Source organism: Homo sapiens, chromosome 7, assembly GCF_000001405.40.
Source record: "Homo sapiens chromosome 7, GRCh38.p14 Primary Assembly".
Classification (NCBI taxonomy): Eukaryota; Metazoa; Chordata; class Mammalia; order Primates; family Hominidae; genus Homo; species Homo sapiens.
In genome coordinates this window covers 110,956,606-110,975,797 of record NC_000007.14, presented here as the reverse complement: position 1 = coordinate 110,975,797, position 19,192 = coordinate 110,956,606, and the positions used below count along the sequence as shown (strand labels likewise).

Here is a 19,192-nt window from a genome sequence, read left to right as displayed (position 1 = left end):
AAGATTTCTAAACTGTTACTATGACACTATAACCCATTGCAGTGCTAGTGTGTCTCTTGACTCATATGAAGGGAATAGCTTAGCACCAAAGCCACCATTCAGAACAAAGAGACTGTCTTGGAAGGTGATATGACACTAGGTCATTATGTTACTTCAGCTGTCTCTAGCACTAAAACATCTAGAAGCTGTGGTCCTGAAAATTAACTTTCTGGATCAAGATAGTTTATTAGTTGGCAGTTAAGAAATTCTGCATGCATTCTCCAAAGCTAAGGTTAAGGTAATAAAGCAATTGAGCTTTTCAGCACTTAAAGAAAGGTGGAGGTGAAATGAAATAGCCATTCAAAACAGCAAATAATTAATTGAGTCTCTTTGTTAACAGGCAGGAGGTCAAGTACACATAGCCACAGCCATGATACAGTCTGCATTCTAAACAGCTGAGTCTTTGACTTGAAAGTGACTAGATTGGATTTTTGGGAACTATTTCAAATGAGATATTAATTTAGAAGGGTAGTTATACAGCTTGAAAGGTACTGTAAGAGATTCAAATGGTCATTTACCATACATTTTGTCTTCTTATTTCTATAGAGTTATAATTTTGACTTTCCTTTCTTTTCCTTTTATTTTTTAAACTCATGTTATATATCTGTTTTTAACTTATAACTAAGAATTCTACAGTAGGATAATGATCATGTGATTAGATCAGTGTAACTATGAATAGATAGGCTTGTATATATTAAAAGTTAACAAAAATGAAATAAGATGCTCCAGGAAACATTTGAATTAACTACATATTTATCATAGGACTCCTCTGAACATTGCATTTATATTTTTAAAGACTGGAATTATAAGGACTTAAGGAATTATAATTGTAAAAGATGAGATGTTTACAAAATTTTTCTCCTACGTATAACACAAAACAAGATAGCAGTAAATAATTGTGTTTAAAATAGAGGGCCAAAAGCAAACTTGCATATTTTCTAATTGACAAATAATATCTGAAAATAAGTGTCCAAAATACACAGAGGGTGGTGCTGAAGAAAATCTTTGGGAGGAAGAATAGGAAAAGACCTGGAACATTTCTTGGATGGGGATGTAAAGAATTAGAGGAAGACATCTGAGTGCCAGTGAACAGCCTGGAGGGATGGGCATTGTGCTGGAAAAAGCAAGGCAAACAGATGGCAGCGGTGAGAAAGAACTGATAAAGGGTGGGAGAGACATGGTATGCATCAGTAAGGCTTTGGGGCTCTATATTTTAAAACGAAACTGAATCAGAGGATTTTGTGAGAAGTATTTACTTGATTTCATATCTTTTTCAGAAAGGCATTTTATTTTAGGTAATACGGTTAGACTATTTAAAAGTTTTAAATAGAGTTTAACACTGTTATGTAAATCAAAATATCTATCCATGTGGTCATTCCAAAGCATGGTGCCATTGCCTACAAACCCACTCTAATGTGGATTAGATCCCACATATTTCATACTGGAGATCTTTCTTAATCACTGATGTTTGTGCCCATGTCTCTTGGCAAAGCTCCCATGTTAGAGTGAAACGAAATCCCCAAGTTTCTGCCATTCAGATGAAGAATGGTGGGTGGTGAGCATATGTTTCTGAGAAGTTGCTTTTATTTAAATCAAAGCCTCCTTCTTACATTTAACCCACAGGCATTTAAGACCAGTTAAAGATTATTTCCATTAATTCTTTTTGGCCTTATTTTTACTCAATTGTAGAGGTATTTGAGGACTATTAATGGTTCTTATACCTGTGTCTGGGAGAGACTTATTAAGCTTCAGCTGTGGGAACCACATAGCTATCAGGACCCATGCAAATTTCGTCCACACATGAAGATGACGGTTTGGCCCCATTTTGACTTAATAATCTCCCACTCTTTCTTTAAAGAAAGTTGTTGGTCATGTTTGAGCAATGGAATGATGGTTTCAGAGTCTGTGAAATGTACAACTCACAAAGAGCATCAACATGACAGCTGTAGAGATTAGAGTCCATTTTGTATGTGTACAGAATTAGGGGACCGATGCTCTGAAAAGCAGGCAAGCCTTCTCACATTAATCAATGTCTTTCAACCTAGAATCAAAGCAGCTTCCTGCAAGGAACAACACTTGTGGGCGGGCACACATGGTCTGTTTCCATTTTAAATGGGTACCTAATTATTTGGAATAAGATTTTATGAACTAGAAAAAAAGTGGCTATAGGATGTGTGTACTAAAGAATAATAGAAAAAGGTAAATCTTCGGAGAAATTATAGCCTCAACATACTCACTGTTTTTATGAAAAACACATGCCTCAATAAATTTTATAGTTATTGCTGACTGTGTACAGTCAACTAAAAATAGCAGGTCAGAATCTTTAGCTTCTTGAAAGGATGCATCACAGGTTGAGATATGGTTGTGATTTTTGGAAAGGGATTTCTTTGGTGTTCTATGTGTAGAACACTGGCAGCTAGGAATTTTTCCCCAGATTTATTAAGGTATGACCGACAACTAAAAATTATATGTTTTTACAGTATAAAATGTGATGATTTGACATATGCACACATTGTGAGATGATTAACTCTAGCTAACATAGCCATTTCCTCATATATTTATCTTTTTGTGTGTATATGGTGAGAACATTGAAGATCTACTTTCTTAGCAATTTTCAGGTATATAATACATTATTATTGACTAGAGTCACCACACTGTACAATAGATCTACCCTTTGACCAGCCACTCCCCATTTCTGCCCCCAACCTCCACCAACAATCTCTGGCAACCATCATTCTATTCTATTGACTGGGAATATTTTGACCTCTGCATTTTCTTACAAACAATAGAAGTTTTTCAGGCTAACCTAATAAGGGAAAGGACAAACATAGGAAGAGTGAGTAACAGCATGATAACCAAACTTTCCCTCATTCTGAGGTGCCTGTTAAATGAGTAGAACCCTAACATAGCAACTTTGAAGATCTGTCTTCTCCAAGTCAGTGCTTCTGTGTTCTCTTTGTGGAATCCATAGGCAGCACTCTCTCTTCTTAGTCACCTGGCTGTGTTTTTCTGTCTACTCACTGCTCTGTACCTCTCTGGCTTGGTTTACCCTAGTGAGATAACTTCTGTTCGTCCTTGGAAGTAAATCTCCCCTGTTTTTCTTCTGTTGTTGCCAAAGTTCCCTTATGATCTTTCACAGTCTTTTTTAACCCCTGACCTAAATTTTGCCATTCTTAACTTACCTCCATTCTCCAAAAGATATTTATTCTCAGCTGCCAAAAATCCTTTCCAAATTAACCTCTTCTCTAGCTCTTTCCCCCCTCTCTATAGCTCCATGTAGTTTATCCAGCAGAAAGGAAAAAGGTAATACTGGAAGACTTAGAAACATATGCATAACATTAAGAATAGGAGATATTTAATTTAATTTTAGTATTATTTAGGTTAAAGCATTGACAAACTATCATAGTACAAGTTATTGCAATATAAATAGCAGAAAATTAAATATATAGAAAAACTTTCTGATAATGTAGCAACTGGAGCTAGCTGAATGAGTGGCTGTCAAGCTGAGCAAATAAATGGTAATGCTGTTTTTAGAGGTGATCAGTTGAGTTGATTTTTTAAAATCCCAAGCATCATGTATTTTTTTTTTTTCTGGAAACAATTTGCTAATACTATTCCAGTCTACAATTGGGGGCATAAAGTTGACCTTTTCAAAGGAGTAAATTGTGTGTAGTTACTGGTGCCTGAGAGCTCTTTTGCAAAACAATAGCATTAGGGTTGGAACAGAAATGTGTCAGGATACTTCATATTCTACTTATGTTCTAACCTCCACACTGTCAGCATTCTCCAGGAGAGTGAGCATTTTTGAGAAATTACAATAGTATCATTGATTATGTGGCATCTCACCTCTCCCCACACATACACCTAACTCAGTTTTACTAGGAAATTTTGAATCCAGTAGCACAGTTTAAACATTAATAATGCATATCTCGATTGTCACTAGAAAGCATATTAATCAAAAGAGATATGCAATAAAGACAATGGAATGGATACAAATTTTCAGGCCATAAATATCAGGTATGCAAAAATATATAACTTTATTTTGCTGTTGCTGATTTTAAGTGTCCTATTGCAAGCAAGACTTAAGTGTCCTATTGCAAACAATGCTTTTCAATTCAGGATAAATGTAAGAGCTTTCTGAGGCAACTCAAAACAAATTAAGTCTGTTTATAGTTCTTTATCTTGTCAGAACAACATCTAAGCTCCAGAAGTTTATTGTGTGACGGCATCAGGGGAGGGACCCTGCACCTTGATGGACACCTTTCCTTGCTGGCATCCATGGGATGGCATGTTGGCCTGTCTGATTCTCAGTTGTAAAGGTTCCTTTACTAACAATCCCCAATGCTGGCAACCACTGAAGTGTCTCCGTTCCCATCCGTGTCTTTCCTCACCCTGAAAAAATATCATATGGTAACCATAAAATGCTGAAGGTAAAATGCTCAAGACTAGCCTTATGCTTACTTTCTTCACTTTTACCAAGATGCTTTCTACCCTAAGCTTGGCATCTCATACCCTACAATATCACTGATATCATGGCAAACTGGCGAGTAAGCTGTGTTGGGCACAAGCTGACTGCTGTGCCATTCTTCAATAACATTCTCCAGGTGGCTACAGGTACTTCTAATATTTTGCATGGACATTGACTTAAAGGTCCCAACCTCAGTTCTTGTATACTAGTATTCATTCTGCAATTCAGTTGGTTTGCCTTCTCTGTGCCATATAGATGGCAATGGATATGGTTTGATATAGAAAATACAAATAGCTTGCTCTTTCAGGGTGTTTTGTGGTATGAATATCCTTCAAACCTACCAAAAATATGTGGTACTATTTCCCAACCTGACTGAAACCAAATATCTAAAGCTGGTTAGCTTAACTGAAGTGTTACGGTTATGAGGCTAGATTGATGGATTTATTCCTTGGAAGAGCAGTTAATTTTGTTTTATTCCATGATGTTAAGTGGTATTCCATGCAAAGCCATACTCAGTGAGGTAGTTTGGATGAGGGGTTGAAACCTAGCTTGACTAAGGGGAAAGAATGCTTCCGAGTGCATGTCCATCTTTGGGAACAGAGCGGTGGTGCTTCTATATGAAGGTCTGCACTTGGGAATCTGTATTGAAAGAGTAGTCAGTATGTAAATTTATGTTAGCATTCACGTCCTTCATTTCCACAGATATGTTCAACTTTAAGCATATTCAATATATTAAAATCAAGTTTTACAAAATAAATTAGGGAATATGATTTTCACAACCAGAAGTTTCTTTATAGATCCTTTTTAAAGTTCCTTTAAAAGCCATAACTCCATGTTACGTGGTAGAATACATGTGCACACACACACACATTTTACATATGTGCTGTATATTGTTTCTGTGCTGTATATATTCATTTACATACAAATTATTCTAGATGGTGAGGTAAATTGTAATTATATTAAATACTTGAAGATTGCACTATTCTGTGTTTTGAAATGCTTGAGTTAACAAACTGTTGGAAATTAATTTATTGTTATGATTATACTAAATTCCTTAAGTTTTTCATAGTTAAATGAAGACATTTGTTTTTCAGGATCAAAAATACTCAATTACACAGCTCTTTTCAATTATAGAAGTTAGAGTCATAAATACAAATTTAATTGATTTTACATAATCCAGGCTGATTCACTAATAAGACCAGTTGTCACTATTTGCTTATTAAATTTTTCCTAATCACATTTGGTGAAAGTGAAATAACTCCAACATTTAACCAAGAACACTTTTTATCAATAAACAACAGTTCAGTTCTTTAAAGTTCATTCTGTTGTTGTTTCATCAGTACTGTTAAAATACATTTTCCTGTGTAAGGAATTGTAGAAGATAAATCTGAAACATAAAGGTGATATTTCTGCTGCTGCCTTCTTAGGTCTCTAGAAACCTGACTGGAATCTCTCCAGTGTCCTGAAAGATTCTATTTCTGCTTAGTAGCCTGATTCAGGTAGGGTATGCTCTGAGAGAATGGCCAATGTAGATAAACCATACCTTTCTTATTCCATCCCCACCCCACAAAATGAGACTGTGTAAGTCACATTGCTTGAAATTTGACTCTATTTTCATTAAAGTTTTCTATACACTTAAAAATCTTCAGCCCCTGCCTGAGGTTTCCTTTCCCATGATCTTTCCTTCCCCTTCTAGAAAATAAGACAAATTTGAAACATTAACATGGGTTCTTGCCACTTCATCTGTACGTCATTTTGCCAGTAATGAGGCTCTTGGTTGGGAGCATTCTCGGGGATATCAGGACAAAAGTGATTGTTAGGCATTGTATATACATATATCATTTTCTGAAACTACAAAGCTCCGTGCTTGAGAGGATTTTATGAATGAACCCCAAAAACAACTAAAGTCTATAGTTTATTTTGTTTAATTTTGAAAGATTTACATGATGCAAGGGGAAAAAGGTAGCTGAAATACTACTGACCTACATAAAAATTTTGAGAGTGCTAATTAATGAAACGGTATTGAATTTTATAAATGAATCATTAAAAATGAGGCAGTATGTACAAAGTTCACACTACTGATAGTGAAGCAAGTGTACAGAATCCAAAACTAAAAATTATTCGTTTTTATCTTGATTTTACAGATAATACCTATCTAATTTAAAATAAACCTGTGCTTTTCAATATGGATTCAGTTATATTTAGTTTTGCTGTTTCTTTAGCTAATTGTGTAATAAAAGTTGACCAAACCTTTACAATGCTTTTCTTGTTCTCCCATGAAAGAGAACCTGAAAATTCTTTTATTAGAGGGCTTAAATATAGTCTATCCATGTAAGTCTTAAAAAAGGATTGTAACTCTTGTCTTAGGCCCAGTTAATTGATCTCCTTTATGAATTTATTATAGAAAGGGGTGTCTAAAATTTACTGAGTACCTACGATGTGATAGAATTCCTGCTAGACCTTTTATGCGTTTTCTCTCACTAGTTACATGATGCTCTAGGTAGGAACATTTTTCAAGATTTCTAGACTCATATGCCCTCAGGTACTACACATTTGTGAAACAAGCTGGCGGGACTGTGGCAAATCGTCTGCTTCTCAATTCTAATGGACTTTTTTTTGAGACAAGGTCTCACTCTGTTGCCCAAGCTGGAGTGCATTGGCGTCAACATTGCTCACTGCAGCCTCTACTTCCTTGGCTCAAGCAATCCACCTAACTCAGCCTCCTGAGTAACTGGGACTACAGGCACATGTCAGCATGCCTGGCTAATTTTGTATTTTTTGTAGAGACGGGGTTTCACCATGTTGCCCAAGGCTGGTCTCGAACTTCTGGGCTCAAGCCATCCATCCTCCTCATACTTCCAAACTGCTGGGATTACAGGCATGTGCCACTGCACCCAGCCTCCAGTGGACTTTTCTCATGCAAGAATGTGCTACTAGGGTTGCCAGATCTACCTGTTTTTTCAAGAGAAATAAATTTATATGACGTCTCCTATTTGCTTAGCTAGCTCCAAATTTTTTTTTTTTTTAATGCATGAATCAAACAAAATATTCCTGTAAGCCAGATTTGATGGTCTGGCCACTGGTTTAGGATTTCTGATCTAATCTTACCTTCCTGAAAATGAGTCCCAGATAGGTTATGTAGCTTGCCTACAGGGAGCAGCTCACTTACAGCAGAGAGGAATAGTAACAGCAAGACTCTATTTCCATTTCTCTCCAGTCCATGGATTTGCAGGGCACAAGAGGACCATCACATGGTCACCAAGTGGAAAATTTGGGTAATAGAGAATGGGCAATATTAAAAGAAGCAGAGGAAGAGCCAGATATACTCCAAAGCCTTTTAGCTCTAGCCATTGTGAAAACCATGCTAAACTCTGGCAACATTTTTTCAAATTTGACAGGGAAAGGAGGTGATAAGCTATCATTTGATAATACTTTTTATCATTGTGTTGAGTGGACTTTTCGTTCTACTTTCATGATAAAAGAATAGAAAAACATATATTTTTAAAATTATAATGATGTAAAGTTATATGGCTTAATGCATGCTTTATCCTTTAGGATAGTGAAAAACATTCTCTTGTAATAGAAGCCATCCCCAGAATATTCGTTTTTCCTTTCACCTCAATAATAAAGCATTAGATTTAGGCCTCTTGGGATATATGCAATGTAAATAGTGTCCAATACATGGTAGTATTTTTAAAGGTTCAGTGATTACATTAGACTGTGGCTAAGGTTACTTTAATTCTGTGATAATCTGGGCCAATTCTGAACCATATGAATATAAAAATCTACCCAAGTCACAGAGGGAAGTTTTAAAATTTTATCATAAATGGGAGAAGAGAATGCTTAGACCTAGGGTTAAGTTATTTATGTGACACCAGGATCAGGGTGGGGGTGGTCAGGAAAAGAGAAGGTGGGACATATGCTAATCTCTCCATCCCCACAATACTAGAGGGGTCTCTTGAGTATGCCAAAGTAGCTTTCAAGTGCTCCCAACAGGGTGAAAATTATAACTTTTTGGGAACATAAAAAAACATGAAATTAGTGACAGAGACTGGAAATTCTATTATGTCTACATTAGACCCCACTCCTTGGCCTGCAACCATTCTGGTTACAGACATTCTCTGCCATACCACACAGAGCTGCTAAGACTCATGCAGTAAAGAAACAATTCTAGGCTCCTCATCCAAGTCTCTGGAGAAATCTTGCCAAATTAAATCATAAGCATAAAACAGAATGTTTAAAATCCACATCCCAGAAACAAATATTGTAAAACATTACTTATTATGAAAACACTAAACTTACAAATTTAAATGTAAATTTTAGTATTTATTGGGGAACATCCATTGTATTCCTCAAGTAAAACATAATCCTTCACTTGTTATTCTTCACATTTTCTAGGAGATAGGAAAGTGGCCAAGAAAATTAAGACGAAGAGAAGTTTAATAAGTTTCATGATGTAAATCTGTATAACTCTCTGAGCACTTCTGCTGAGATCAAAGTAATGCATTCAACAGCCTAATGATTAAAATATAGATATAGATTTTGAGCAGTAATGGAATTAATGTTAGTAATAGCTTTTTTCATTCTGAAATTATTTGATTAGATTCATGAGTTTAATATTACATTAAAATTTAAAGATATATTTGAAGTAGTAATTTGTAAAACTTTAATTATATAGATAGCTCCCTTTGCATACTCTATTTTGCCTCAGGATCTTAAAATATAGATTATTTTAAAATATAGAATACCTTTTAAGAATCTCAAAAGCTTAAACATTGTTGGCATAAAATATTTTTTACACTGATAGGTGTTGCTTTTTATATTATTTCATTAATGTTAATCTCACCTCAATATTAGGCAGTAAACTTGATAATTAATTCAGGTCTTACCTCTATCTTGGAGCATGTCTTCTTGGGTAATGTCATATAACACAAATAGTTGTCATCCGCTAAAGGATATCCCAATAATGTGGACCAAAAATCTGGGCATGAAAGCTTTTATCCACACAGAACTTTTCCTTTTCCTTTTGTTTTAGAATCTTCTTGCTTAGTTCCCAGTAAAAATGGATGCACATTTCTCTCTCTGCTATTACAGATGTGAAGTCATGCCACAAATAATATTTTCTAACATACGGTTTCAATCCATACATTCTGTTGATATTTCCATATCACTAAATATTCTTCTATAACATCATTTTTAATGACTGTATTTTATCATGTGAGTGGGACTATGGTTTATTTAACCTGTCTGCTCTTGTTGAATTTTTTTCTTTTTTAAAATAGACAGTAATGCTTTAACTATCCATGTGGCCAAAATTTGGCATACATTCGTAATCATCTCATTAGGATACATTTCTGGAAGTATGATTATTATGTTTAAAAGAATATAAAATCTTGATATTGTGTTATAGAAAGGCATGTTACATGACCAAACAGTTTATATAGAGAGTACCAATGTCCCTAATCCCTCAACAGCAATTTATTTTTATTATTAGTAGTACATCTTTGTCAATATAGTAAGAAAGTGTTTTAATATCCATTATTTTGATATGCAATTATTTGATGACCACTGAGGCTGAATAATATTTTATACTTTCCTAGTTTTTAAAATAGGAGACATGGGAGGGGCACTTTTCTAAAAGGTCTATAAGTAACCCTGCAGAGAGTATCTTAATTTCATTAGCTTGAATATGCCCATACCCCTCACTTCAGCTGTACATTAATGACATTAAAGTTATAGAAATATAATATTTACTTGATTTAATAAAGGGATGAGGCCAATCAAAACTCTGATCAAATTTCATTTTAAAATAAAAAAGTTAACTTAGTGAAAAACTGTGAAACTAATTGTTACAAATAAATGCAACTAGCTTACGTGATTTCATTTTCTCTGCAAGACATATTGTGAAATATAAATCTTATTGAAAGTGCACATTTCCTTTGATGAAATGTACAGTTTGAATATATTTGATCTTTTCAGTTTTTGCACATTTACATTCCTTTTAAAAAGTACTTCAATTCAAAATGTGACTTGAATTTAAAATATTTTTATCTATGCATGATTTTGAAATACATATTAAATGATCATTTGTGTGATGCATGAGATGTTTCTTGAAATGCGTCTGTTAAATCAAAAGACTTAAAATGTTATTGGCAGGAAATTGACCATATTAAGATAGAGTTACCCATTGCTACATGACAAATTACCCCAATGTCTAGCATCTTAAAACAACAAACGTTTATTATCTCACATATTTTCTGAGGGTGAGGAAACCAGAAGCATCTTAGCTGTGTGGTTCTGACTCAAGGTCTCTCACGAATTTGCAGTCAAACTGTTGACCAGAGCCACAGTCTCTGAAGACTTGACTAAGTACGTGCTTTGAAGCTCACTAATGTGACTGTTAGCCGACCTTCCTTCTTCACCACGAGTCTCTCCTTAGGCTGCTCAGGACAGACCAGACTTCTAGAGTGATCCATGAAAGAGATGTTGGAGGAAAAAATAGAAAGAGGAAGGAAGGAGGGGAGAGAGAGAAGGAGAGAAAGAGGGAGAGCCTGTAAGTCTGTTTTATAACATAATCTCAAAAGTGATGCACCATCAGTTTTACCATAAACTATTGACCTCACAGATGAATCCTATCACAGTCTGGAAAGGAACTGCATAGGATATACATACCAGGAGAGGCAGAGATTTATTTAGAGTACAGAGTATTACTCTAAGTTAAAATTTACCATAATCAAGTAGCTTGAAATAAATGATGTCTGTATTAAGTATATCAAAACCTGTCAATTTATTTTAACTGTCAGTAGCCCTGTTTTAGCGCTCTGAATTCTATAATCATCAAATGGCTAAACCCAAATGTAGTTTCAAAGAATTCTCTAATTCTTTATTTTTTAAAGGAAATGCTTCGCATCTTCATTGTTTTTATGGGATTTAAATAAAAACTCCTTTCTTAATTTTAAATGAAATTTTAAAAAACTGAAGTATGTTATCATTTTAAAGAAATGTGTAAGCATTTTCTTATGTACTAATCCTCTTTCCTCTAAGTACTTGTGTTAGTTCTCACACTGCTATAAAGATACTACCTGAGACTGGATAGTTTATAAAGAAAAGAGGTTTAATTGACTCAGTTCCACATGGCTGTGAAGTTCTCAGGAAACTTGCAATCGTAGCAGAAGGATACGGGGAAGTGAGGCACATCTTCTCATGGCGGCAGGAGAGAGAGCAAGCAAGCGAAGGGGAAGTGCCACACTCTTAAATCATAAAATCTCGTGAGAACAACATGAGGGAGAACAACATGAGGGAATCCAACCCCATAATCCAGTCACCTCCCACCAGGTCCCCTCCCTCTACACATGGGGATTACAATTCGAAATTAGACTTGGGTGGGGACACAGAGCCAAACCATATCAGAACCTATCTTTAACAACAATAATAATTTAATAATAAACTTTATTCCTTAATAAGAAAATGTTTTATTCCTCTGTATTTTTTATTTTTGTAAAGTTTTAACATGGCTTTTTTCCCCCCCAGAGTTTATTTAAAATGAGAATTACTTCAGTAGTCACTTCATGTCACTTGGAACCGAAGTGAGACTGATGTCATGTCATGGGGTGCAAAGGAATCTGTAAAGACTTTAATATAGCCTATTTTGTTATAGAATTTCTTTTCATCTTCCTAAAACAACATAGACATAACTGATTGTATAATGTTATCTTCTTGTTCTAGGTCTCCTAAAAACCCAGAACAGAAGATCATTAAGAGAGTGATTGCTCTTGAAGGAGATATTGTCAGGTAAGTATTTACTGTTGTTTCTGAGTTCAAGTTTTAAATATCTAGAGTTCTGTTACCTACATTACTTGGGAAATACATCTGAAGTCCATGAGGGCCAAAGTTTTGGAGACATTCCAAATGAGCTGGTACATCTTTAGTGAGCATCATTAACCTTTCAGGTTGTAAGGAATATAGATAAACTTACTGATCATATTGTTATTCTTTAATTGTGAAGTATAGGATAAATATTAATTTAAATTAACCATATAGTCTAAAATGATCATTAAATCATTATTGATCAGATATTAAAAGTAGCATGACTATTTTAAGATTAAGATTATGATGTTAAGGTTCATTTAAAAAAATTCAAGAACATTTAACTATTTTAGAAGCAAATGCAGAAACTAAGAGGACTCTTTTGTACTCATAGAGATGGGAGAAAACTGAAAAGGATATGAAACAGAAACTTCCGAATCAGTGACAAGAATGAAAGCTTTAGATGATAAGATTGTAACAATCAGGTGTTTAAGCAGCCTTTAGTAATGTCGTATTTATTGTACTTGCTGATAAATCAAGAACAATTGTTGACATTCAGCAAGTAAATACTGTGTGGCATGATGTGTCTCATTGTGATCGCTTTCTTTAAACAAGTTGTAGCCAGGCCTATACAATGTGGTAGCCAAAATGCTTTGACTACTACATTGAGGAAGTTTTCTGACCCTGTTTTCTAAAAAAACTTGATCCTAAAGTATTTGTATTAATGATAGTACACATATTAACTAATCTCACTGAAATGAACCTCAGTCAGTTTTAGAGCAGATTCTAGGCTAGCAGTTCTCACAGCATGGCCAGAGGATCCCAGGGGATCCCCACTGGGGGCCTATGAGATTAAAACTACTTTCCTAATAATACTAAAGTGTTACTTGCCGTTTTTCACTCTCATTCTCTTGTGAGTGTACAGTGGAATTTTCCAGATATGTAATATTGGAGTTGATTGAATGCAGGAGCAGATATGAGAATCCAGCTGTTTTCTATTAAGCCAGAAACTAAAAAGATTTGCAAAAATGTAAAAAAAAAAAATCATTATTTTTACTATTTATTGTTTGCTTTTGGAAAAGGACTATAATTTTTATTTAAATCGTATTCTTTTTGTTAACATAAGGGTTTATTATTGGTATTTTAAATTGAATCAATAAATGAAATTTTAAAACAATTTTCTATTTTAATTTCTAATGTGATAATTACTGGTAAATAGTGGCCACATAAATAAAAGTTTTTTGAGATCCTCAATTATTTTGTAAAATGTGAAGGAGTCCTGATACCAAATAATGTGAGAACTTATTGCTGTAGAAATTCGTAGCAACAATTTTCATGTCAGGATTGAGTGCTCATTAGTAGCCTACATGATATCAGTGAAGGTCTTTTAAAAATTTATTGAGGTATAATTTATTTACCATACAATTCACCCATTTAAAATATACAGTTCAATGAGTTTTAGTATAAATGTATACAATTGTGCAACCCCCACAACAATCTAGTTTTTGAACACTTCTCTTACCTGTTACCTTCAAAAGTTCTCTCTTGTCCATTTGCATTAAACTCCTACTTTAACTCCCAACCCCAGACAGCCACAGGTCTGCTTTCAGTCTCTAGAGTTTAGCCTTCTCCAGAAATTTTATTTAAATGGAATTATACAATATATAGTCTTTGATGTCTGTGTTTTTTTGTTGCTGTTGCTAACAGTGTTTTTTAGGTTTCTCTATATTGTGCATGTTATTAGTTTATTTTTATTCCTGAGTATAATCTATTTTATAGACTTATCACATTTTGTTTATCCATTCACAACTTGATGCATATTAGGATTGTTTCCAGTGTGGGGATATTATGAGTAATTCTACAGGTATTGGTATAAATACTATGAACATCTGGGTCTTTTGGTGGAAACATATTCTCATTTCTATCGGGTATACAGTTGGCCCTCTGTATCCATGGGTTCTGTATCCCTGATTTCAACCAACTGAAGGTGGAAAATATTCAGAGAGAGAGAAAACAAATGATAGTTGTGTCTGTACTGAAAAAAAAAAAAAACACAGACTTTTTTCTTGTCATTATTCCCTAAACAATGCAGTAAAACAAATATTTACATAGCATTTATATTGTATTAGGAATAAGTAACCTAGAGATAATTTAAAGGATATTGGGGATGTGCATAGTTATATGCAAATACTACATCATTTTATGTAAAGAACTTGAGCATCTGTGGATTTTGGTATCTGTGGGGGGATTTTGGTATCTATATTTGTGGGAATGAATCTCCCACAAATACAGAGGGACAACTGTATCTGTGGGATGCTGAGTGTTATGGTAGGTTCATGTTTAACTTTGTAAGAAACTGCCAAACTATTTTAGAAAGTGGCTGTATCATTTCATGTTCTGCCAGCAATGCATAAGGAATCTAGTTTTTTTTGCATCCTTGCCAGCACTTGGTATTGTGAATATTTTTTATTATAGCCATCCTAGTGGGTGAGAAGTAGAATCTCATTGTGGTTTTGAATTGCATTTCTCTGAAGGCTAGTGATATTGAGTATCTGTCCATGTGCATACTTTCCATTCATATCTCTTTTTGGGTGAGATAACTGTTCAGATCATTTGCACATTTTGTATTGGGTTGTTTATATTTTAAGTTATAAGAGGTTCTTTGATTTTGATTATTTTAATGGAGTGAGCATTTAGGGGAGGATATATAATGCTATGATTTAGTCAGGGGTAAGTCTATTAGTATAAAATAACTTAGCTATCATTTCTTATAGAATGTACATTCTAAACTAGAAGAACTTGGTGACTGTTTTTTTTTCAAGAGCCTATCCAGCCTTTTGCTTTGTGGCAGAAACTGGGAAGAGCAGTACATTTAGAAAGCCATTTGATATATATCACAAATATCCAAAATACATTTTTAGTATTTGCAAAACAGTATATAGATACGATGCAAATCCCATTCAAAGAATGTCAGCAAACCTTGAAAACATTACCCTAGGTGAAGAAAGCCAGTCACAGAAGACCACATATGTATGATTCCATTTATATGAAAGGTCCAGAATAGGTGAATTCCTAGAAACAGAAATAGATTAGTGATTCCCAGAGGTATGGAAGAAGGGAAATGAGAGTTACTGCTAATGAGTATAAGGTTTTTGTTGTGTTGGGGGAGTATGAAAATGTCCTAAAATTATATTGTGGTGATGGTTACACAACTCTGTGAACATACTGTACTAAAAACATTGAGTTGTACATTTTAAATGGATAAATTCTCTGTTATATGAATTATATCTTAATAAAGCTATTTTTAAAACCCAAAAGAATGCAGCACCAAAGCAGGCAAAAATTTCATCTACATAAAGCAATCTAACAGGATTAGGAATACCAAGGGATCCATTTTATATTATAAATCCAAAGATAACACAGCTTTTAACTCAGATGGATCATTATTGGTCACTAGCTGAACAGTCAACAATGTGAAACTGCAATGCTTGATCAGACATAAAATGCTTTGTGCAATCAGAAATCCTACAACAGACCTTTCTGAGGAAAAGTACAAGTTGTTGCTTTCCTCAGCACATGTAAATATTGGGTTTACAGCAGAAACAGAGCCAGAGCAAGGGTTAATGATGCAAAGTTGGGAGTTGAGGGAACAGGAGTTGGATGATGTAAAAGGTCTGCCTCCTCTCTTTCCACTGCTGCACCCCATGTGTAAAGTCTGCGAATTGACACCAGGGTCATATGGGTCTATCTGTCCCCCTTTGGTACACCTCTATCATGTAGCAATGAAAAATGTAAATAAAGGACCTTCCAACTGTGTGGCCTCTAAAACTATTTGATAATTGATTCAAAAATAATCATTTTTCAGCATTTGATGTTTTTAAAGAAAATTAAAAACTTCTTTCCCTTTGAAACTTTGGCACCTGAAGATCCTTGGCTTCCTGGATTTTATATTAATAATTGAACACATACAGTCTGATAATGATTTGCTAACAATGTCAAATGTTAAGGGGTATGTAGGGAATAGAATATTATTTACTGATGCATGTACATCTTTTCTCTGTGACTCAATTTTTTTAAAATGCCAGAGTATATTAAAAAATTATAAAAATATGCTGTCAACTACTAGAAGCCCTTAGTCTACTGGTCCCCTGACTTGTGACAGGCAAGGTGCTTTGGTCTGTGCTGTGGATTTTTCAGTCCCATCTTTCCTCTGGATATTACTGGATATTATTAGGTAAGCTAAACTAAAATATAGGTCACCAAAAATATTTTCTTGGAAAGAATTTGATATTTCATAAAATGATCAAGCAAACAGTCCTGTTTTTTAGGACTTATTTATACTTACTGTAGGTTTCAGTAGTATTTGAGGTTAGACCCCTTGAAGGATTAATTGAAGGATTAATCCAATCTTCCATTTAATGTTCTGGTAGTTACACTCCTTTAGGTGGCAAAAGCAGATATGTAGTGAAATATAGCTTAAAGAGCACTTAAGGGTACCTGGGGAAGTAGGGCAGTAGGAGCCAAGGCTCAGCCTAGCTTTACTGCAGAATGGGAATGACAGTGTTGCAGGACTTCCATTTTCTGTCACTTGCATTCTCTTTTGCACATTGCTTTTGCCGATCTGTGCTTTGATTGGCTTTTGCCCCACTGCCAACTGCTGACTTCTTGGATGTGCCTCATGTCTGAATTACCTGAGAGAAATCTGAGTATCACCCTTTGAGATACAGATCTAGGACCTATCCACATGACAGACAGCTGGTCAACCAGCTGATCTACTACCTTTGGGGTAGGCATCCTTCCCTGGTCCTGTCAGCTGTGGCTAGATAGACCAGTCATCTGCTGCATACCTTGTACTTATAAGGAACCTGTTGGTAAGGGCTTGTTGGTATGACAGATAAGATGAGACATCCCAGAATGGGGCATTACAATTAGCAGTCACTTTGCTCAGCATTACCTTTAAAAACATTTCAATAAAACTGTGATCTGCTCTCCTTAGAATTGCTTTGGCATTACTCTCTGGGAAAAATCAACTTCTTTTAAAGATTTGTTTGAAATTATGGAAATAACACAAGCTTGTAAAACTCAAAATGCTTTAATGAACATCCTTGCACACATACCTTTGTACACCTGTGTGTTTATTTTTGTAGAATAGATAGCTAAAAGTGGAAATATTGGGTCAAGTTTGTTATTGTTGTTATTGTGGTTGTTATTTTTAGTTCCAATATATACTGCCAAATTTTCCTCTCAAGAGGTTTGTGTACGTTTATACTCTTATCAACACAGCATGAAAAACTGTTTTAGAGAAAATTGATTTAAAGTTCATGTGCAATGGGGAAATTTTGGACTTTAGATTTACAGGGTAAAACATTGTAACACAAATTTTTGGGTGATCAGGTTAAATATCATTTAATCAGTTCACTGACCGTGTAGACCTTAGTGCCATTCATTTAAAAAGCACTGGTCTAGATACCGGAGAGACGTAAGTGAACAGAAGAGACAGTGTTCCTGCCCTCATGATGCTTACATTCTAGTGGTTAGAAGCAGACAATAAACAAATATATAACACATAATGCAATGTCATGGGTAAGAAGTGCTATGAAGAAAAACAAAGCAGAAAAGGGGGTAGAGAGAAATGGTAAGGGTCTGGGGCTGTAGGATGTTCACTGAAAACTTCTGTAACAAAAAGATGTTTGAAGAGACTCATGAATTAAGGAAGACAGGGAAAGAGTCATACTAATCTCTGAGGAAAGGAGAGTTCAAACCAAAGGAATAACAAATGCAAACCTAAAATGGATAGGTGAGTTCAAGGAAGTACAAGAAGCCAGCATGGTTGGGACTTTACTGAAGGAGGGAAACTGAAGTAAGATTAGATCTGAGAGGTTTTCAGAGCCTTGTGGGTCCTAGAAAGGACTTTGGATTCATTTTAGAAGGATGGCGAGCCATGGAGTAGTATGATCTGATTGGCATTTTTAAAGAATCACTCTTTCTGCTGCTTGGAGAATAGACTAAAGGGGGATAATCTGACTCAAATCACTGGTCAAAGTGTTTTTCTCTTGAGAAAATAATATCTAGCTTCTTGTAGAAATAGTTGTGTCCTTGTTTATGACATGCATGATAGTTTTATTTGTTATTTTAAATGACTCAGATAAAAATAGTTACATTATTTGTATTACGTTACGTTATTTATAGTCACAGTCATTTAGATTATATTGACAAGGCAAAAAGTAGGCTTTCAGAGTACTTTTTCAGAGAATTCAGCTGAATTTACAAATAAATGTTGTAAAAGATGAGACTGGGGAGGGCCTGAAATTTCTACCTTGATGTCAGCATTGATTAAAATCACAAGGCAATTGCTTGATTCTCTGGATCTCATAGCTAGGAATGCAGTCATTTTCATAATGTGGACCCAAATGGGTATGCTTATCTATAACATCAAACAGTAAAAATAAGCTGATTCTACTAATACTTAGACCCATTAGTTCCACCGAAATATTATTTTTAGTTAATTGCTTTTTCTTATTAATTTGTTATGACTCAAATAGAAGCATTGTTTTAGAAAACCATAAAATGAATGCAAAGCACTAAACTCCAGCAAGTCAATGTGAGGCAACCACAAATGAAATTGTTAAGGCATCAACATTTTTATTGGGACACTTGTATTTCTGTTTCATAGATCTTCTCTGCCCAGTCAGAAATGAAGTCCAGCATCATTTTTCCTCTGTCTTGGTGAAATACCATTTTATAGAATTTTGGAATCTCGGGCTCCATGTGGTTAGCAACCTCAATGAAGTAAGGGAATGGACTCTTTTTAGTCCCTAGTGAAGAAGATGACCATATAACTTATCATCTAAACTAGGACACTTTGAGAGTGAAAAAAGA

General features: G+C 34.8%; 1 protein-coding gene across 23 annotated transcripts in view; it reads left to right on the top strand.

The window, feature by feature from the left end:
* The window catches only part of IMMP2L (inner mitochondrial membrane peptidase subunit 2), an 899,849-nt gene that overhangs the window by 586,695 nt on the left and 293,962 nt on the right, over positions 1-19,192 (top strand). For 21 of the 23 annotated variants that reach the window (XR_007060162.1, NM_001350963.2, NM_001244606.2 and 18 more), the window contains one exon: positions 12,233-12,298. Coding sequence is in view for 22 of the 23 variants with exons in the window: in NM_001350963.2 (NP_001337892.1) it covers positions 12,233-12,298 (66 nt within the window). In the remaining variant the exon portion in view is untranslated. Of the gene's footprint in view, positions 1-10,946; positions 11,350-12,232; positions 12,299-12,707; positions 13,491-19,192 lie in introns of those variants that run through there. The other 2 variants (NM_001350962.2, XM_024446957.2) reach the window with 2 other exon arrangements.